Source organism: Homo sapiens, chromosome 13, assembly GCF_000001405.40.
Source record: "Homo sapiens chromosome 13, GRCh38.p14 Primary Assembly".
Lineage (NCBI taxonomy): Eukaryota > Metazoa > Chordata > Mammalia > Primates > Hominidae > Homo > Homo sapiens.
Genome location: NC_000013.11, coordinates 99,359,523 through 99,381,657, shown reverse-complemented (window position 1 = coordinate 99,381,657; position 22,135 = coordinate 99,359,523). Strand labels below are relative to the sequence as shown.

The window sequence follows — 22,135 nt, the reverse complement described above, 5'->3', positions numbered from 1 at the left end:
GAAATAACCTGTATGATGTTCCCTCCAGTTAAGGACCATTGTCATTGGTGGAGATAACTCAGGCCAAACGGGAGCTGGCCTGCCTTCCTTCCACCTACTATCCACCACCATGATGCCATGGCCCCCAAACAACTTGGCCACTCTTAATGACGTTTATTTAAACGGCTTGGAAAAGCTACCTTTACTACTACCTGTAGTACTTCAAGTGCAGCTGAGGACTGGCTGCTTCTTTGCACCCAGCCAGCACAAACGAATCCATTTGCTGTCCACACTCAGCAATTTGGAGATCTGGCAAATGACGATTCATAATCTGGAGTGATGAAGTGTGACTTTAGGCCACAGCTCCACCTGGCACTTGAGCTCTCCCTCCACTGATGATACATTTGGTTTGGAATCCACAGGATGCTGATAATGGGCTGGCTACACACAGGTCACCAACACAGGGCAGCAGCATGGACTGCATGCAGGCCCTGCCCTGGAGAGGGAAGAACCCCTTAGGTCTGGGATGGCTGGGCTGGGTTGTAAGTCACGTAGGTGACATCCTAGAGTAAGAACGAAAGCTTTCTATGTACACGAGACTTCCTTCTGAGTTCATTCTCTCAGACATGAACGACATGTGCCGCGGTGCTGGTTTTGACAACTAAGACTGGCTTTTCACAGGTCTTGGCAGAAGAGAGCGTCTGCTGTCACAGCTTGCAGCGGGCTCGCTCTTCATCCTCTGCGGGGCAGATCATGCCCCTTTAGCCAAAGCTGGCTTCAGAGCTTTAAGTGATTTTTATGGGTGAGAAGACAAGTGTGACAGGAGAACTTTCACTGCCCACTGACCTGTTATTTTCACCAGATTAAAAACTATTGCTAAGTAGCAATAATGTTAGCACAGTTCTTTAAAAAGAATAAACAATTACACTAAGAAAGGGCACCTGAAGGTTTCCCATAGTGTCCAAAACTAAACATCCATGGCAAACTGAAACTGCATGCTTGGGCTTGGGTATGCGATGACAACCAGCCAGCAAGGACGAGAAGGGTCAGGGGATAGGTGTTCCGATGGGTGCTTACCCAATACTCCCCAGTGGAGGGGTGCAGTGCAGTGCTCACAGCCGTGCAAGTTAGCCAAGTGGCCCCTGCTGTCCTTTCTTTATGTAGTTTCAGAGGTTCACCATATAGACAGTAAGAACTGGAGCAAAAACTAGCAGCACAGAGAACAGTTGTCTGTAGGGCTCTTTGGTGGACACTAACAATTACTGCTGTGGCTCTCACTATTCCTCTGCTCAGAGAAGCCCAGCACGCCCAGTCCCCACACATCTCATTACGGTCTCTCCTGGGAAAGCTTACTCGGCATGTGAAGCATCAACTCCTGTGCTCAAATTACAGAAAGACGAAATTGAGGCCTGCGCAGACGTGCAGTCAGGTAAGCAAAACACACGTTAAGCATTCCTAATCTGAAAATTCAAAATCGAAAATGCTCCAGAATTTGAAACTTTTTGAGTACCAACATGGCAGTACAAATGGCAAGTTCCACACCTGACCTCATGTGATGGGCTGCAGTCAAAATGCAGGCCACAACATGTAGTTTATTCAGTGTCTCCAAGGGAAAAGAGACCCTCTCACCCTCCTTCAGCTGTGACATGCCTTTTCTGCACATGCCCCGACTCCCCCACGCAAGCACATGCCAGTGGGCAGGTTCCCCACAATGACCTGCATGGGGCCAAAACCCACGTGCGTCACTCACTGTGCTTTTTTGCTTACTTTCTGCTCTGTGTTATAAAAATGTTGTTAAAATATCTAAAAGGTGTGCAGATACCCTCTGGGTAACAGTGATAAGAAAAAGATTTATGTTTATCTATAGCACAGAAAGTCAAGCTGTTGGAGAAAGTGGAGAGCAGTGTAAGTGTGAAACGTCTTACAGGAGAGTATGGTGTTGGAGTGACCACCATATAGGATCTGAAGAAACAGAAGGATAAACTGTTGAAGTTCTGTGCTAAAAGTGATAAACAGAAATTAATGAAAAATAGAGAAACACTGCATAAAGCTAAAAATGAAGATCCTGATCATGTACCGAGGATGGATCCCTTGGTGTTGCAGTGAACACCTGCCACTTAATGCTATGTGGGTCAGGAAACAAGCAAGGATCTATCAGGATGAGGAACTGAAAATGAAAAGGAACTATGAATATTCAACATGTTGGCTGCAGAAATTTAAGAAAAAACATGAAACCAAATTTTTTAATGTGGTGACAAAGCATCATGAAGCAGCAAAGAAATTCATTGGTGAGTTTGCCAAGGTCATTGCTGACAAAAATCTGATGCCAGAACAAGTCTATAATGCTGATGGAACATCACTGTTTTGGTTTTATTGCTCCAGAAAGACACAACTACAGCTAATGAGACAGCCCCTCCAGGAACTGAGGACATCAAGGGCAGAACAACTTTGCTGGGATGTGCTAATGCAGCAGGCATGCATAAGCGTAAACTTGCATGACAGGCAAAAGTTTGTGTCCTTGCTGTTTTCAAGCAGCGAATTTCTTACCAGACCATTATTATGCTAACAAAAAGGCATGTTTAACTAGGGATATCTTTTCTGATTGGTCTCACAAACATTTTGGACCTGTGGCTTGTGCTCACTGCAGGGAAGCTGGGCTGGATGATGACTGAAATATTTTGTTATACCTTGACAACTTTTCTGTTCATCCTCCAGCTGACATCTCATCAAAAATCATGTTTATGCCATGTACTTTTCCCCAAATGTGACTCCATTAATTCAGCCATGTGGCCAAGGTATTCTTAGATCAATGAAGGATAAATATAAAAGTACCTTCTTGAACAACATGCTAGCAACAAATGAATGGGTATGGAAGATTTTCAACAGGCGTTTAGCGTGAAGGATGCCACACATGCTGTTGCCAATGCATGGAACACAGTGACTGAGAACACAGCTATGCAAGCCTGACACAACCTCTGGCCTGTGCTATGTTCAGTGATGATGACGAACAAGGTGGTGACTTTGAAGGATTCCACATGTCAAATGAGGATAAAATGATGCCTGACCTCCTAACAGGTAAAAAATATACCTTCGAGTCTGTCAGTAAGCCAGAAGAAGTGGATATTGAAGTTTTTATTTTTTATTTTATTTTTGAGACAGAGTCTTGCTCAGTCACCCAGGTTGGAGTGCAGTGATGTGATCTCGGCTCACTGCAACCTCCACCTCCTGGGTTCAAGCCATTCTCCTGCCTCAGCCTCCCAAGTAGCTGGGACTACAGGCATGTGCCACCATGCCTGGCTAATTTTTGTGTTTTTAGTAGAGATGGGGTTTCACTATGTTGGCCAGGCTGGTCTCGAACTCCTGACCTCAAGTGATCTGCCCACCTCGGCCTCCCAACTTGCTGGAATTACAGGCATGAGCCACTGAGCCCAGCCAGATATTGAAGTTTTTAATATCGATAAGGGGGCTCCAGCTGTTCATTAACTGACCCATGGTGAAATAGCTGAGATGGTTCTGAGTCAAGGTGACTGTGACAACAGTGATGATGGAGATGATGCTAACGCTGCAGAAAAAGTGTCTACAGACGACACAGAGAAAATATGTGATGGGCTTACTGAAGGACTAGAGCAGCATGCATTTTGGATAAGGGATACTCAACTTGTAGGGACAGAAAACCAGGTTCATGCTTCCGTGAAATAAAAATGCAGGGGAAGCTGCATGCTGTCTTAGGTCTGACTCCAGCGCAGGGTGGCAGGGAGACCCGAGCTTTGGAGTTGGCCCCGTGTGACCACATGCAGGGGACCAGGCTCTGACTCTCTGTTTCCTCGCAGTTTGGGAGATGAGAGGGATGCATGTGAGAAGCCCAGAACAGTGACGGGCACATGACCAGCGCTCAATAAACATGACCTCTCAGGACCACTATTCTCCTATGGAGGGCAGCGGGGCCAGGTGTGTGGTGGGCCCTAAAGAAGTCAGAAAGACAGGAACAATCTTTTTAAATGGTGAGCATAACATTCTAACAAAAAGACTGTGTTGTTCTAAAATACACTTTATGTATTTATAAAGTTTAGCAAATACACAACTCTGATGACTATATAAATAATGGTATTATAGATGGTCAGCCCATCTCTCTCCCTATCGAAAGCACCACATTTTAGCCACAACACACATTAACTCACACTGAAACCCTGGACTACTTCATTTTCTCTGCAGGCTGCTTCCTGTCTCTGTAGTCCAGCTACTGGGATGAGAAGCATCAGAACTCACCATGAGCACCTGATCCGATCTAACATCCACAGGAAGAGAAAGTTTCAATGTAAAATCTCCTGATGTCAAGTTGTTAAAGTACAGGAATGAATGTTTACAGGTCTCCTCTGCTCTAAGGACTGGCACTAGGTACTTGCATGAGTTGGGTACTGGGTTAGGGCCTTGCATGGATCTGGTCTCCCTCATAGACGGTGAGCTCCCTTGAGGGCTGGCACCAGGCCTGGCTTGCTTCCCCCCAACACAGAGCCTGACACACCCGGTGCCCAGCACCAGTTAGAGAAGGCTGAATGTGAAGATCAAAAGTGACCAATAAACATGTGGAGGACAAAATGAGAATGCTGGTAGGACACTGAGACTCTGGAAAAGACTGTGCTAGGATAGACACTTGTTCTGGCGTGAGTGGAGGCAATGGTGAGGCGAGGCGAGGCGAGGCACGGCGCTGCATACTGCAACTTCGTCAGTGTTGGCTTCATGGGCTTGCAGTCATTCATTGGTCTGGAAAATTTTAAAAATGTCTCAAAGAAATTTTCTAAAAAGGTGTTCTTTCAACATTCCCTCTCCATCTCAGAGCACAGCGAGTACCTTCCTCCTGCTCAGGCATCACAAGAAGTTTCTGCCTAAAAATCCTCACCACAAAATATCAGATTAGAGTGCAGCTTGGTTTCTAGCCCCCAAATCGAAATGATTCCTTCCTCTAACTTCATTGAGAAGCCAGCTCTAGTTGGGTTCGCCTCCAGCATGCTTTGCTTTCCTGTCTTCCACATCTACTTATTTCTTATTTCTAGACACTAACATTCCCCAAATGTAACATCCAGAGCCTGCTTTCCGTAACAGGAAACCTGACTTCCAGAGGTGAGGAGCAGAGATAAGGCTACTCAGAGGACACCAAGGTGCAGCTGGTGCTGTGGCAATGGCAAACTCCAGCTCCGCCCTCACGGGGATGAAGACCCACTCTGGAGGTGTCCAGGGTGCCCCACCAGAGCCCCCACAGGGATGAAGACCCTCTTGGAGGTGTCCAGGGTGCCCCAGTGGAGCAAGGTGTGACTCCATCAGTTGCCTTTCGTCACGAGCTTCTGAACCACAGGCGTCAGCAGCCCTTCACCAGCCCTGGTGTGACACTTCCACATGGCTGGCTGACCAAGGCAGGGGAGCATGACAGAAATAGGCGTTGCCACAAGAGCACTGTCACTGTCACCTGACAATGTTCCAAAGGAGAGCAAGATGGAATACATTCCCTAATAATGTGCTTTTCAGAGAACCCACTGAATGAGGAAAACACCCTAGAGATGGAAATAAATCTGTACCAGTTTCTCTTTCCTTATTTTTTATTTTTAAACATCTATGATTGGGATGTGTGTGCCTACTACCTCAAGATAATTCTCATTTAAGAAAATGCCAGCCTGGGCAACCCTTGTCTCTACCAAAAAAAAAAAAAAAAAAAATTAGCTGGGCTTGGTGGCATGTGCCTGTAGTCCCAGTTACTCAGGAGGCAGAGTTGGGAGGATGGCTTGAACCCAGGAGGTCGAGGTTGCGGTGAGCCATGATAGCACCACTGCACTCCAGCTTGGGATACAGAGCAAGACCATGTCTCAAAAAAAAAAAAAAAAAAAAGGGAAAAAGGAAAAGAGAAAAGAAAATAAATGAAATCCCACTTTGGTATTTTACTTGCAATTCAACTCCTCTTTGACATAAGTAAAATGGGACATTCATTCCAATGAGATTTCTAGCAACTCCCCTCAGTGAAAGACTCCTTTTGGTTTATTCAAACTAGAGTGTGGTTTTCTTTAACTTCCCTTTTAGCTAAGTGCGTCAAAAACAAATGTTTTTTTTGGGTTTTTACTTCCCATATTCTGACGCTTGCAGAAAGCGATGCCCACCTGAAGACGGCCCCCACCCGATCCTGAGCTCACACTGGGTGCAGGGTAGCATGCACACCCTGTTGGGGGAGCCCAGATGTGCTGGGCCTGCCTCGCCCACTGCTGTCATAGCAACTGGCACCGGTTACCTGTTGGCACCAGCTGCCCACCCCCATGCTGACGCATGGCCGAGACCCTTGCAAGGCAGTGCAGCCCCCACCCCCCTCTCCCTGTCTGACCACTCTCTTCCTTGGGAGAACTGCAGATCCCCCCTCCTTTCACATCTCTTGGTTGAACTCAGGTTTCTGGTTATTACAGACCCTGCCAGCGTTCTGGGCTGCTCTGAGACCAACTGTGTCTAGAGCCTCGTCAGGGTCTTGTATGGAGCAGGTCTTTAGTTAAGGCTGGCTGAGCTCCTTTGTGTACATCTCTCAGAGCACCCAGCAGAATGAGACACCCCACAAAAGTTGGTTACTATTTGAGTACCATCTAGTATTTCATTGTAACACATCTAACTTTGGGATCTTGTTAGAAAACGTATTTCCAATCTACTAGAGCAAGCAATGGAAAAACCTGGCATAATACCACTCTCTAGCACATTTTTTATGTGAAAACAAGAGTTCTGAAAGGGAAGTTTACTGGCCACACCTTCGTGTTCAACCCTTCTCCGACCGATGCTGGGGCACCTGTGTGTATCAGGCTTTTCATAGGGTAGCAAACAAGGCAGACATGGCCCCAGCCCTCAGGAAGCTCGCTGTCCACAGGGAGACCAGACGCCATGGGAGGCTAACCCAATACCCAATGTGCTGCCATGCTTGGCTACTCAGAGCAGAAGCACGAGATGTGTCTCAAAACCAATAAATATTAGAGCCCTGCTTTCAGAAGGTGAGCATTTTAGGAGTTTCGGTGGGTTTTCTGGAGACAGTGGTAAGGATTCCTGAGATGAGAAGAGAGGAGACAGCCTCATTAAGATTTAGATTCTCTAATACTAAATACATTTTGCTATTTATCAGCTAAGAGTGAAAGCACCTTGTGGGTTTAAAGCCATTCTCTCTACTTGGGCTAATGGATATCTCAGAGACATAAACAGAATCCACACGACGTGTCATGTGAATTGACCAAAATTATGGGACGCCATTGTTTTGGGCTCCAACAAACCAGAAGACCAAACTAAATGGAGTCACTCATGCTAAATGCCACACAATCAAATTGAAACTTTAAGGAAGCAGACAGATCCCAAAACAAGAAGACCTGCTTTTTCTAAAAATAGGAGATCCCAGACTACACAAGTCAGCATAATAAGGAACTCCCCTCTGCTTTAACCCTTAAAAAAAAAGCAACCTGAAGTAACTCAATGTTAACCTATCAGTTATTTTTCTATTGCTCTGTTTCCTTCTTACAAAATGCACTGTTCCAGTACTGCCTGGCGGGAGCTCACATTCTGTTTTGTAGAATGGAGGCTGCACTAATTCATAAGTTGCAAATAAAAGCCAAATAGATCTGTCACTAAATTTGCTGTAATTCTGTCGTTTGACATGCATTATAAATGTATTATTAATATTAATGCACCAAATGGTAACATCTCTTGTCTGGGCAGTTGCACCATGTTTCCTGGGCCTGGATAGAGAAAATTATAAGATTATAACCTGCCCCCTCCTCTGTGTCCAGTCCATCCTCTTGGGAAACCCAATGATGGTGTTTCTTGTGTAAGATCCCGCATGGTTCCTTGGTGTCTAGAGTATAACCACATGCCACACATCAGACCCTTGGCGAGCCTGTCTGGCCTCCTTTCTGTCCAGCTTCTAGAATCCCAAGAAGTGCCCCGGCCCTCCAGTCCCCTCTACTCCAGCCCACCCATCCGTGGCTCCCCACCTCCCATGTACTTGTCTTCAGGCCCCTCCTCTGCAACACCACTGCCCTGACGGCCTTTCTTGGCCTCAGCAGCACCCGAACACTTCCACAAGCTCTTTGTCCACCTGTTTCCCTGCCCTGGGCTCACAGCTCCTCAGGGCAGGACATTCCGCCTTATCCATCTTAGTGTTTTCAGAATTCAGCACAGCGCTTAGCCCCGGTGCAGAGCAGACAGCTGGTCACTGTCAGCTAAAGGAAAGAAAGACATGAATCGAAGAGAGGAAGCTGAAATTTGCTCATCTTCCTTTTGTTAAATCCCAGCTTTGGTCTAGTCTTATTTAACTTTCTTGTCTGATTTTACCTAACAGTCATTTTCTAAGCTTTGGGAGGGTCAGAAGAGATACACTTGATGAGTTTTTCCCCCTTTGGTTTTAAAAAAATCAGAAGCAAATATGAGAAAAATTTAATCATTTGTTAATTTTGAGTATGGGTCATAGTAGTATAAAGATACCTGTTTAAAAAAAAAAAAAAAAACAATAAAAAAGAGAGAGATGGAATAATGGATATACTTATTATTATTATTTTGAGACAGAGTCTTGCTCTGTCACCCAGGCTGGAGTGCAGTGGCGTGATCTCAGCTCACTGCAAGCTCTGCCTCTCGGGTTCACACCATTCTCCTGTCCTCAGCCTCCCAAGTAGGTGGGACTACAGGCGCCCGTCACCATGCCCGGCTAATTTTTATTTTTTTATTTTTTAGTAGGGACAGGGTTTCACCATGCTAGCCGGGATGGTCTCGATCTCCTGACCTCGTGATCCGTCCGCCTCAGCCTCCCAAAGTGCTGGGATCACAGGTGTGGGCCACCGCGCCCGGCCTGGATACACTTATTTCTAAGATAGCAGACATTGAGCGTATTTGATTACTCGAAGGAGTTTTATCAAGTGGTCTTTGGCTTGGCATTTTTGCTGTTGTTGTTGACAAACAGTTTCTATTTATCTTCTTCTTCCTCCTCCTCCTCTTTCTTGTCTACCTTTCTCTGGGCAACCCTGGCAGGACCTTCTTGCCACCCATTTTCCCTTTAGACTCAGAGCCGGTGACGCCACCTGTCTTTCTCCAGCAGCTTCCCCACCTTGGTGTCCTAAGGCTGCTTCTCACGGTCACTGATTCCACAGCTCACCAAGCTTGTCTACCCATCTCCAAAAGCAATCCCAGGGTCTATGGATTTGATGCTGGGGATCCTGAACAGAACAGGCAGTGGTCTTTGGGGGGCATTAGGGGCCTTCTCCTTGCCTCCCTTAGCTGGTCCATCATCCTTCATTTTCCCCCCACAGCCTACTTTATCCACCTTTGTCCTTTCATCAGATTTAGACTTCTCTTTCCCCAGACATTATCTTTCAACTCTAAGAGCACTTGGAAAGTTCTGTGAAATTGATAGGAACTTGTGGGGTTTTCTTCTGATCTTCCTCCCCGCACGTCTGCACAGGGAAGGCATGAGCAGACATCTCGCCTTGTGGTTTCCGGGGATCGCTGTTGCCATCCTGACTGTCTAGCTAGCAGGCCAGGCAGCACAGGGCGCACTGTGTGGCTTGGCACTCTGCAGCCTCCCACCGCCTGCCTGCACAGCAGCCTCCTTCTTGGGATATTCTTAAATGGGGCTGGGGTGGCATCTCTGAGGGGTGATGAATTGGCAGAGGTGCCGTGGGTTTACTCACCAAAAAACGGGAGTGGATTCTGAAGAACTAAAAATCTTGAATCTTAATAACAGCAAAAATAGCAAAAGTAGAAAAGGTGGCAAAAGATTTCTATGGCTATCAAACTACTATTGGATTTATTAAAGGATGCACATTCTTCTTAGAATATTCTGCTTTCAAAGTACATGGCATACATTTCATGTCTACCAGGTTTTCTTGAACTCTCACTAAATTCCTAAAGTATCTGTTTACAGCAGAAAAAACTCAAATAATAATTTCTATTTTTCTTGGCTTAAAAAATTACTAAGTTTCTTAATGCATTAAAATTACGTGGCTCTGATATTTAAATGAAGAAAATACAAACATTTAATTGAAAAAGTAAGCAAAAAAAGCTTTTGTTAATTCAAGTTATCTTAACATGTTATTAACAAATATTTTAGACAGTGGTTAAACAAACTGGCCAAGAGATTATACAATATAAATTTATAAACTTTTTTGTAAGCATCTTGAGGGCAACAACAGTATCTTTTTTATCTTTTATAATCTCTATAGTACCCACTGCAAAGAACACCAAGAGCCTGCAGAATGAATAATGCCAGTAAGAACCTTGCATCTTTAAGGCAACAATGGTTTATAACAGCTATTTGCAGGATAATCAAGAAACACCAAAAACAAGATTTAGAAAATCAATGTATAAGAAAGTGTATGTTAAAAACAACCCCTCATGTTTTTACAACTTCTCGTAACACGGAGCGAGGAAGAAATTAAGTACTGTTTTAAACTGATGTTGACAAGAAGTAACCTCGCTGTTGTCATTCTGGGATGATCAAGGAAAAATGACTCATTAAACAAAAAAAAAAACAACCCTGAAGACTTCAATCACACACATACTCCTTTCACTCCCTTTTTGACACTTTTTTTTTCCTGAAGTGCCCAAACTGAGAAATATATCACCTTTAAATACCTCGTCTTAACGGCTGCCCCATGAGGGATGTGACTCACTGCTGTATCAAGTAAACAGTAACATAACGGAATTTTGATATTTCTTTTCAGCTGAACTTGACAGCAGTATCTTATTTTTTAAACATGTTATAGGAAGATTTTACACATGGCAGGTTATTGGGCTTTTCTTATCCATGGGGATAACCTTTGTCTAGAAATTCTCTAGTGGAGGTAGAAGAGGAAAACTGTGGCTCCATACTCCACCTGTTAATCCTGAAGAGCTGCTGAAACCATCAGTCTGAGTGGAGAAGTGGCAAGCGGGAGGGGCTGGATCAAGTCAATGGGCACGTGACAGTGGTTTCTCTTGAAAACACCTGTCACAGCCTTACCCATGGGTGGCTATGAGATCCCTGCCCAGGGGCACCTTTTGAGTTTTGGGAAAAATGAGGACAAAGTTTTGCTACAGAGGCAGGTGCGTGGCATTTGTTCACTCTGGGGACAGGGAATGGGGAGGCGATGGCGTGGATGGTGTGGTCAGCTGTGAAATGCTGATCTCAATTTGTTTTGTTTGCTGAAAGGGAAAAACAACAGGCAGAGGGAAACTTCAAAGTATTATGATGGCAACACTCTTAACTTTCTTTTATAGATTTTGAAAAGGTTGTAGTTTGAAATAATTTCAAACTTAGAAAAGTTTCTAGAATAGTACCTGGAACTCTTGATTCCTCCTTAACCAGATTCACCAATTGTTATTTGGCCATAGCTGCTTTCTCTCTCTGTCTCTGTCACACATACACACAATCACACACTATGTACTGACATGCACAGGTATTATTCCTAAGCCATTTGAGAGCAGGTTGCACACATCATGGTGCCGTTTTCCTTCATACTTCAGTGTGTATTTTCTAAGAACAAGAATATTCTCTTTCCTAACCACGGTCGGTATGTACCAAGTCCTGGAAATGTAAAATTCATATAATACCAATATCCAATCCATAGTCCAATTTCATCAATTGATCCTAAAATGGCCTTTCATCAGACATTTTTTCTCCAGTACAAAATCCAGTCCAGGATCACATTTTCCACTTGGGCAGCATGACTCCCAAGTCTCCTTTAATCTGGAACATCGTATTTTTGAAGAACATAGACCAGGTATTTTACAGAATGTCCCTCAAATTAAGTTTATCTTATTTTCCCTTACGATCAAAGTTATGCATGTTGATTGTAACTGCATATGTTACAAGGACATAACTGATAGGTCCTTTTCAGGATATGAACATAATAATTCTTTGTTCCATAATTGGTGATGTTAATTTTGATAACCTGGTTAAGGTGGTGTCCAATTTCTCTTCTGTAGAATTACGGTTTTCCTTTATAATTAGTAAGTAACTTGTGGAGGGATACTTTGAGATTACAAGCGCTCCTCAACCTACGATGGAGTTAAGTCCCAATAAATCCACTGTACGTTGAAAATATCATAAGTTGAAATGCATTTAGTACACTTAACCTACTGAATATCACAGCTTAATCTAGCCTACCTTAAAGATGCTCAGAACACTTAACATTACCCTACAGTTGGGCAAAATCATCTCTCACAAATCTAGAGTATTGACTATCTCATGTAATTATTGAGTATCGTGCTGCAAGTGAAAAACAGAACGGTTCACAGTCGCTGCCCAGCATCGCAAAAGAGTCTCGTACCACGTATCGCTGGCCTGGGAAAAGAGCAAAACTCAAAATTTGATGTATGGCTTCTACTGAGTATGTATCACTTTTGCACCACTGTAAAATTGAAAAATTGTTAAAGTTCGACAATTATAGGTCAGGGACCATCTATATATAAATAGCCTAGTCTTCATATATTGATCATTTTTCCCTGAATGGATTTTTATTACGATGCTTGCAAATTTGTGATTTTCTGATACTATCATTCTTTGTATATTTATTACTTGACATTCCATTTAGGAAAAGCATTTCCTTCCCTCCAGTGTATGTATTTATATAAATATTTATCTACTATTATAATGCATGTATTCTTACTATCCTTTATTTATTCTGATCCCCAAGCCGATGCCCTAGATGTGGCCAGTGGGATCCCGCAGCTGGCTCCAGTGTCCTTCTGACAGGCCCCAGCAGTGACTGATCACTTCCTTACTTTCCTGGCACACGATGATCCAGGGCTATCCTGTACGTTCCCTACACTGGGCCTGGAATCCACCGTTTTCCTAAATAGGCCTGGTTCCTTTTAGTGGGGAGGAGTGTTTAGAAACCAGATCTGGGCAGTAGGTGAGCCCACTGCTACCAGGAGGCCACTGCTTCTGAGCCCTCTCGGTCAGAGTGAGGGTATGTGTACACACACACACACACACACACACACACACACACACACTCTCTCATGAGTTTACGATGATAGTGATAATTCCTTTCCAACCCCACAGGGTTCTCCCTTGCCTTTCCCTGCTTTATATATTTATTTTCCTTCTTCCACAATAAAATCAACCGAGTTCCTCATTTGCTCAAATCTATAATACACACAGCATAATTTTAGAATTGCTATACTCATACCTTTATGAAAACTAAACCTTGAAGAAATGTTTAAGATTTGTTTGCAGTTCTTTTTGTTTCTTCATTAGACTGAGGGTATATCCGGTACAAACGTTACTGAAATCCATTTTCCCTCCTTCAATGTGATTATGTTATTCATTTGAAATGCAGTTAGAGCATTTGTTTGTTTCTTTTCAGTTTTACATTTGTCCCTGTCCTTTTGGTTTGCTTGTTGAATATGTAAAACATTAACATGACTCAAAACCATACAAAAGTGAAACCATGCCAAAGGCACACTCCCTCCCCATCCTCCCACCTCCTTGTCCCCGATCCTTCACAGAGAACCAATCTCATTAGTTTCTTGTATATATGAAGTGTAAGAGCATCTAAAACAAGCTACCATAATACATTCCCACCCGCCGCCCCCCAACCAATAATGCCTTCCTTAAACTCGTAAGAACCACAATAGCCAAAAAAAAGCCCAAAGTCTCTATCATGGTGGCAGATGGACTGCTGTCACCATCTTTGTATTTACACGCTTGATTACTTTTGAGTCCTGTTGATCGAAACTGCTTCAACTCTGAAACATGGATTTAGAATGAGTACCAGGTATTACTGATTAATTACCTGTTCCTCAGAAACTTCTAGAGGGGGCGCTGCTGGCTCAGACTGCCGACCGCCCTGATAGTTTACGTTTTGTCGCTGACGTAAAGGAGGAAAAAGACGATTCCAATTGATCATTCCTCCCTAAAAAGAGATCAACACACAGTTATCAGACACAGAAGGAGCAGAATCATCATAATGCTTGGAAGAGCTTTCTCTCAATGCAGTTACATCTATAGACTGGGAAGGAAGTATCATATTGATCCGCTCTATGCAAGCAATTCAAATTCAAAAGTATCACAACATCCTTCAGTCAATAGCACAAAATTGGCAGCCTGCAGTAGGTGCTCAGGAGAAAAGAAAGTAATAGGCAGTGTAAAAGCTCTTTGTGCACTGTGGCTCTGGAAGGCAGTGAAAGACACTGTACAGACACTCCTAATTTCAGCCCGACTGTGACGCCACTGACTGTCCCAACTCCAGTTAACTCTTAGGAGCTCAGGGCTTTGCAGGGTGTGATAGGAAGGAAGGCATGGAGACGAGGCTAAATCACTGAGGGCAGCCAGAAATCTGGTGTTTCCATCACGGCCCTTAAAATGCTCCCCTGCTCTACCTTTCTTCTTCTTATGACTGAAGTAAATCCTGAGCGCACACAGTGGAGGAAGACTGCAGACTGTGATAAAACCTCAGCAACAGGCTAGAGAGTGTGAAGGGAAATCTGACAAACAGCAAAAAGGTGAGAAGTGAGCATCAGTAACCATCTTTCTGAGGGTGGCTCCACGGATCCTGAAGACTGACAGCAATGCCGTTCCTGGCTTAGTCTATGTCACCAACAAAAAAGAAGCCACCATGGGAAGAAAAATGCATCACATGCTGCTTTAAAAAAATCCATGTTTCTAGCTATATGGCAATCTTTGAATTTATTAATTTAAATCTCTATTTCTAGAAGTCTTCTAGTCCTGACAAAATTATAGACTAAGATCTGAAACTCTTCCTACTACAAACACCTAAAAATGCTATTAATAGATAAATATTTCTATACACAGCTAAATATGAAAGAAGTAAGTGGAGTTGCAAGGCCTCAGGAACAAGTGGGCGTGGGAAGCAGAGCCGCACACTGTGAGCAGCCTGGGAGACGGGGGAGCAGAGGCCCTGCTCACCCAGGACCACTTGGGTTCTATCACTGTTTGAGTTCGGAAGATGCGGCCTTGGGTCTGAAAGAGGCAGCAATTTTGAGCTCAATTATCTGTCTAAAGATACAATCTTCAAATGGCAGCACCCTCAGCGAAAGGGATGAAAAAAAAATCAAACTAAAAAGCCTGTCTTCCCCCGGAGACAGCAGGAATCTTGGTCCTGCCTGAGAATTAAGAACCACAGGCAAATTTGGGGTTCAAGTTATACTATACATATGTTGTTATATTCATGGTCTCAGAACCCATCAAAAAAGTTACATAAAGATTGGTTTTGGGATGGAGATATCGAAGGAGCCAAGCAAAAGCAAATGTAAAATTACTCTGGAGAGATATTCTCTTGCCTTGGGGTTACATGGGATTTATAGTTAAAGCTCCAGTGGGGAAAAACTCAGAATTCAAAACCACAAAATCCACAAGGAAATCACCCATGATGAGCAAGTCGGCACACAAAACACACAAGAGACTGGGTCCCCAAGGACCTGAATATAGGAGGATCTGAAAATGATTACACACTTCAAAAAGACTAGGACGTCACAGGAGGACCTTAAAGAAAAGAATAAGGTATTATGAGAAAAAACAGATGTGAAAAAAAATTAGGGAAACAGAAGCCACTCTCACCTCTCACCTCCTCCCCACAAAAGATAAATCTAAAATATAAAGACGTACACAAGTTGATGTAAAGAGATGGAAAAAAATCAGAGAAATACTAATCAAAGAAAGCTGTTGTTGCTACATTCATGCCAAATAAATAGACCTCGAAGGCAAAAAAAGGCAGTATTAGGGATAAAATCAATAGAATACATGAATATCATATTTATATGTAACACAATGGCATCAAAACACAGAAAGCAAAAATTAATAGAATTACAAGAGAAGTGGAAGCATCCAGACATATATTTAATTTTCAGCATATAACTCAGTAACTGATAGATCAACCAGACAAAAAATAATATAAAAAATAACAAGTTTATTTCTGAATGGACATATATACCTTGCATTTAATATTTAGAGAATATACATTCTTTTCCATTACATTTAAAGTATTTACAAAGTAATTGTGTACTAGATCCTATATGAAATATTCACAAATACCAAATCATAAACATTACACAGATTATATTCTCACCATAATGCAATTAAATGAGAAATCAACATCAAAATAATAACTAAAACAAAAAACCTCACACATTTGGAAACCAAAAAAATCCTCATAATGGAAATTAGAAGATAGCTAAGAATGAATAAAACTATTACCTACCTATCAAAGTTTATGGGATGTAATAAAGTGGTTGATGTAATTTTTAAATATTGAGATTAAATTAAAAAAAGAAAACTGAAAATTAAAGGGTTAACTATACCCAATTTAAGAAGTTAGAGAAAGTAACAATAATCTAAAAAAATGAGAAAGAAGAAAGTAGAAAGTTGAGAGCAAATGTCAGTAAAACGGAAAACAAAGAAACAGAAGGAGTCACTAAAACCTACTGCTGGCTGTTACAAAGTCAAATAAAATAGGCAAACCTGGCAAGCTTGATGAAAAGACAAAGGAAGGAGCACAAATAAACAGTATTAAGAATAATACAAGGGATATAATGGCAGATTTTTAAAAAATCACAAGAATACTTTATTCATACCAATAACTTTGATGAAAGACAACTTTCTAGAAAAGTATAACTTATTAAAACTTATTCTAGAGAAAACAGACATTGGTAATTATCTTTTAAAATTGTTCAGGACCATCTACTTAAGCTGAGCCATATGTGAGACTCAGCAATTCCACTCCTGAATAAAAGAAATTCAAACACATGTTCATCAAAAGACATGGACTAGAACGTTCTCAGCAGCATTATTTCCAACAGTCAAAGACGGGAACTACCCAAATGCCCATCAACTATAGAATGGGTAAGTTATGGTGCATTCACATACTGTAATCTAATAAAGCAGTTTGAATGAATGAACCAGAATGACATGCAACAATATGGCTGAATCTCTCAAATGATGTTGAACAAAATAAACACAAAAAGTACATTTGTATGACTATTATTATATAGCATGTACTTTTCTGGATATATATCATACTTTAATGTAATTGAAACAGTACTTAAAAATCTACCCACCAAAAACCTACAGGTGAAGTGTATGAAATCTTTAATGACTCCTTATCTTATATAAACTGCTCTAGAGTACAGAAAAGGAAGGAGAGTTTCCCACCTAATTTTTTGGGACTAGCATAACACTGTTTCCAAAACTAGACAAGGCCATTATGAGCAAGAAAAATTATACAATATATAGTTAATTTTTCTTGGGTAGATACAATAATCCTAAATAAAATATCAGCAAATTCAATCCAACAATGTTTTCAAAATAATTCTCTTATCTAGTATGATGTGCTGTATTAGGATTTATCTCAAAAATCTTAGAAAAACTAGCAACATAATCCACACATTAACAGTTTGAAGGAGAAAAATCAAACGCTCATCTCAATAGGTATGAAAACAATTTGACAAAATTCAATACCCATTCATGAAGAGACAAAAATGCCTATTACCAATTCTTGCATTCAGCACAAGTCACAGCATAATGAGAACAAAAACCAAACCCAAACAAAAATCTCACATAAAGATAGAAAAAGAGAAACAAAACTCATTATTCAAATGATGACTGTCTACCTAGAAAATCCAAGAGTGTTTACAAATGTCTCTCAAAGCATGAGAACAAGAGAGTATGATTAAAAAGTAACATTCCCTCTATTGAAATCATTAGAGAATGTAAGTACAAAAAATTACTATTTATAAATAGCAATAAAAATATAAGGTAGTTAAGAATAAAATCAAACAAAAGATCTACAAGATTTCTAAGTAAATGGAAAGATTCAGCATGTTCCTGAATTGAGCCTGGTAACATGTAATCCTATAATCTATCCAGACACTGCCAACTCCAGTCTAGCAGACTGCTGGTTCACTTCCAATATCCATTTTCCCCCTTTGGAAAAAACAGTTTTGGTTTTCTTGGGTGTGTATATACGTGTGACTTGCTACCTTTCTCAGTATCTTTCCATGTTGACTAGGTTCTGACAATGGTATGTCAGCAGAAAGGGAATATGGGCCGACCAGGAAGATCCTCAGAGGCAGGGGCTCGCCCTTCTTAGAGGATCAGGTGGAAGCCCTGTGCTGAGGATACAGCAGCAGCAAAGAGCCGGGGGCTGACACCTTCAGGACACTGCCCCGCCGGCCTGGGCTGCCCACTGCTGGACTTCTATACAAGACAGAAATAAACTACCTCGGTTAAGTTTCTGCTATGTTGTGTTATCTGTCATGTGGAGTCAGATTCCTATTATTATTCCTATTCCCTAACTGCTATATACTCAAAATTCAAAAGTATGCACATGTGTATATTTTGGTGGGACTAGACTACTTGAAGTTAAAGCTCAAAACTAGGCATGACTATTTTGAAGAAATATAAGAAAGGATTTCTCTACCAGTTATTAGGACTTACTATTAGACTGCAGTAATTAAAGTCATGTGGTATTAGTGGAAGTTAGGCAAAAAATCCAAACAGAAGACAGAGTCTAGGAATCAACAGTAAACATGGGCACTTGGTTATGAGCCCGTACTGAATACAGTCCTGGGACAACTGGCTATAGATAGGGAAAAGATAAAACTAGGCCCTTACTTCACACCACCCACAAAAATAAAAACTAAGATTAAAGATTTAAATGTGGAAAGCCAAACTGTGAAAATTTTTTTGAAGAAATAGGAGATTATTTTCATGTCATTAGGATAGGAAAGGATATCTAAAACAGAAATACGAAGTATAAATCACAATGAAAAAAGTGGTTAAAAATTACTTTACCTGTAAGAACTTTTGTATTAAAAGTTCAATTGTTACTGAATTAAATAAGACAAACTACAGATTGAGAGAAAATGTTTACAACATATAACTGCTATATGCTCAAAATTCAAAAGTTACAAATCAATGAGACTTAATAAATCAATGACACTTATGAACTTATAAGACAACACTTATAAATCAATGAGAAAAAAATAAGTGACTCAAGAGAAAAGCAGATAATGTATATGAATACTCCATTTACAGAAGGGGAAATCCCAAGTCAAGAAACATATGAAAAGATATTCAATCTCACTAGTGTTAGGGAAAGGCAAATGAAAACAAGTTATTTTATACCCACAAGACTCGCAAAAATACACAGCCCAACAATACTGAGTGTGGGAATGATGTGAAAGAAATGGGAACTCTGATAAGTTGCTGATGAGAGTATAAACTGACACAACCCTTTTGGAGAGCAACATGTCAAGATCTAGTGAAACTATTCTAGTCTATGACCTGGCAACTTCACCTCTAGGGAGCTGTGAATGCTGAAGGGGTCATGTATGAGGATCTTCTGTGAAGCACTGGTTGTAATATTAAGTAAGAAAATGAAAAAAATTCAGTTGTTCCTAAGGAGGGAAATAAATTAATAAGTGGTTCTATTATATAAAAGACCATTATAAAAGCAGCTACAATAAATGAATTAGATTTACATGGGTAAATCTCAAATATACAATGTTTAATGAACAAATAAAGTTGTACAAGAATATGCATATACAACATATACATATACCATTTACATAAATTGTATGTAGTTTATGTAAATAATATAAATAAAATGTAATACTATTTACATAAATTAAAAAATACTCAGAACACGAGTATATATACTATTTTAACTTTTTTTGGGGATGAGGGTCTTGCTACATTGTCCAGACTGGAGAGCAGTGGCTATTCACAGGCACAATCATGGCGCACTGCAGTCCTGAACTCCCGGACCCAAGCAATCTTCCATCTCAGCCTCCTGAGTAGCTGAGACTATAGATGTGCACCATTGCGTCTGGTCTATTTTAACTTTTTTAGATGGATATATGGTCATGGTGACTCTGTTCTCCTACCCCCAATCCAGGAGATATTTGGCAATGTCTGCTCACAGTTTTGGTTGTTATGTGAAGGAGGGGAGGGGGGACAGGATGGTGGTGCTGTCGGCATTTAGTAGGTAGAGGTCAGGGATGTTGCTAAACATCCTACAATGTACAGGGCAGCCGCTATAACAAAGAATGGTCTGGATCAAAATGTCAATGGTGTTTAGGTTGAGAAACCCTGATAAGTATGTATGTAGTAAAGATACAAAAACATGCAAAGGCACACAACACACCCACTCCAGGACAGTGGAAGGGGAATGGGCTTTGAGTTCCATTTCATTTCTTACAAGAGAGTGAGAGAATCAAAGAGTAGGCAAAGCAAACAAAACCCCAATCCCTCTACTCCTGTGATAGTAGAAAAGTGCTTAAAAAGCAGAAAGTTACGGCTCTAGGTTCTAGGATGTTTTGACATGAATCTGCTCTTTACGTAGGGTTAAATATGAGCCTCTATAAACAGGAAATGTTTCCTTTACTTTGTCTTCTTCAAAAGCAATAACCACATATTTTAAAAGTGAAGAAGGAAACAGCTTGCAGTTTGAACAGGCGTTTTATGAAATACTTATTATTAGTTTGTAAGAAGATTTCAAATGAAGTAAAAATTCTTGTGTATATATACATGTATGAATGAATAAATATATATTCATACATACATACATGATGGTTTCCCAACCGAGGAGCAGTAAAAGTTTCTGACATTTTATTAAGCAGAAGTTCCATGGAACAGAAATCCATGTTCTACAGGCATTGAAAGGTTTCTGGATGGGATGGTCAGGCAGTGTCTACATTAGAGAAGCCAGAAGAGCTCACGGGTGGCTGACCTCGGGCACTCGAGCGTCCACAGGAGAGTGTGAGCCAGGCACGCGGTCTCATCCTTGCTCCCGAAGAGCGCCCCATCTCCTCGGGGGAAGGCAAGATACCCAGAAATGGAAAAGCCAGAACAATGCAAGATGATATATAATTAAGATGGGAGCTGTGAGGCCTAAATCAAAAGGACTAGAAAAGCTCAGAGTGGACATCAACCCACTGCGGCCAAAGCACAGGGGTAAGACTTCCAAGAGGATGGGGCTGGGGCTGAATATTAAAAGAGAATGATTTCAACGATGGAGAAGAGAGCAAGCAAGGCATTTTCCCCAAGGTGTTCAAAGAAAGGGGCCTAAGTGGGTTTATACCGCCTTCAAGGAGCAAAGCAATGCTAAGGAATAACGGCAGAGGGACAAAAAGGTAGAGGAAGCTGAGTTAAGAACAGTCTCTAGAGCCAGAATAACTGGGCTCAAATCCCAGCTCTGCCTCTTATTGTAACACCTTAGATGCATTTTCAAACATTTCCATGACCCTTGGTTTTCTCACCTGTAAAGTGGTAATAATAACTGCACCCACCTCACATGGAGAGTATGAGAATCAAAAGAGTTAATTCATGTGAAACATTTAAAATAGAACGTAAAGCCATCTATAAGCTTATTGCAGCTTAGCTATGATTATTCTGATCCTTACTACTTGGCCTTATACTTTATACAGTATTGTTTCTCGTCTTCCCAACTAGACTACAGGATCCTGGAGGGCTGTGATGGATGGAAGACCTGAACATATTTCCCAGGTGGCCAGTACCACTCTCAGCTCACTGCAGCCTGAGCTGACTGCTCGTACAAGTTGGTGCCCCATAAAAGAGTAAAATGGAGAACAATTACAGAGGGGGCATTATGAATGCGATGTTTTAGAAAAGCCAAAATGACTTCCAAAAGCATCTTCATCTTATTTTAAGACTGTTGGCCATTGGAAACAAATGCACCCTTTCTTCTCAGTCTTTGGTGCTCAGAAAGCCTTTATCAGCATGCCAGGTTTTGAAGTGTGAAGCACACAGCAGGGGCACCTCCAGTCTACAATCGGTGGCCCCCTGCAGGCCACCATGCAGGGAAGGTTCTGGGGGAGACCATGGGGTAGGCAGCGAAGGGCGATGTGACTCTTTAGGGGTGCTGTGCTTGGGCACACGGGAGGCGAGGCAGGGCCCACACAAGGACTTACTCAGTGTGCTATGGACCAAGGCTTTCAAATGTTTTCCACCTCATGGCACACACAGAAAAAGACAGATTTGCATGGTCCACAGGAAAAGCCAAAACTGTTTACAGCTGGCCCAGTGGCTTCAGGCCCTTTCCAGTTGCCCCCAAGCGGGGAGGGGACCAGTATCTCAGCCCATCTATGACCATGGCACAGTGGCTGGGAAGCTTTACCCCAGGCCATAAGGAAATACTTA

At 41.7% G+C, this 22,135-nt stretch overlaps 1 protein-coding gene and 1 pseudogene across 7 annotated transcripts in view, besides 3 other annotated features; both read right to left on the bottom strand.

The window, feature by feature from the left end:
• UBAC2 (UBA domain containing 2) overlaps positions 1-22,135 on the bottom strand; it is a 185,651-nt gene that overhangs the window by 4,847 nt on the left and 158,669 nt on the right. For all 7 annotated transcript variants that reach the window (NR_026644.2, NM_177967.4, XM_011521083.3 and 4 more), the window contains one exon: positions 13,752-13,871. Coding sequence is in view for 6 of the 7 variants with exons in the window: in NM_177967.4 (NP_808882.1) it covers positions 13,752-13,871 (120 nt within the window). In the remaining variant the exon portion in view is untranslated. The remainder of the gene's footprint in view (positions 1-13,751; positions 13,872-22,135) is intronic.
• Positions 5,781-5,850: an enhancer, noted in NCBI's record as "active region_7937". NCBI's record gives its function as "activates an Ori minimal core promoter by ATAC-STARR-seq in GM12878 lymphoblastoid cells {active_cell/tissue: GM12878}" and the evidence as "EXISTENCE:reporter gene assay evidence [ECO:0000049][PMID:35858748]".
• HMGB3P4 (high mobility group box 3 pseudogene 4) lies at positions 8,972-9,485 on the bottom strand (annotated as a pseudogene).
• Positions 15,076-15,165: an enhancer, noted in NCBI's record as "active region_7936". NCBI's record gives its function as "activates an Ori minimal core promoter by ATAC-STARR-seq in GM12878 lymphoblastoid cells {active_cell/tissue: GM12878}" and the evidence as "EXISTENCE:reporter gene assay evidence [ECO:0000049][PMID:35858748]".
• Positions 15,494-15,593: an enhancer, noted in NCBI's record as "active region_7935". NCBI's record gives its function as "activates an Ori minimal core promoter by ATAC-STARR-seq in GM12878 lymphoblastoid cells {active_cell/tissue: GM12878}" and the evidence as "EXISTENCE:reporter gene assay evidence [ECO:0000049][PMID:35858748]".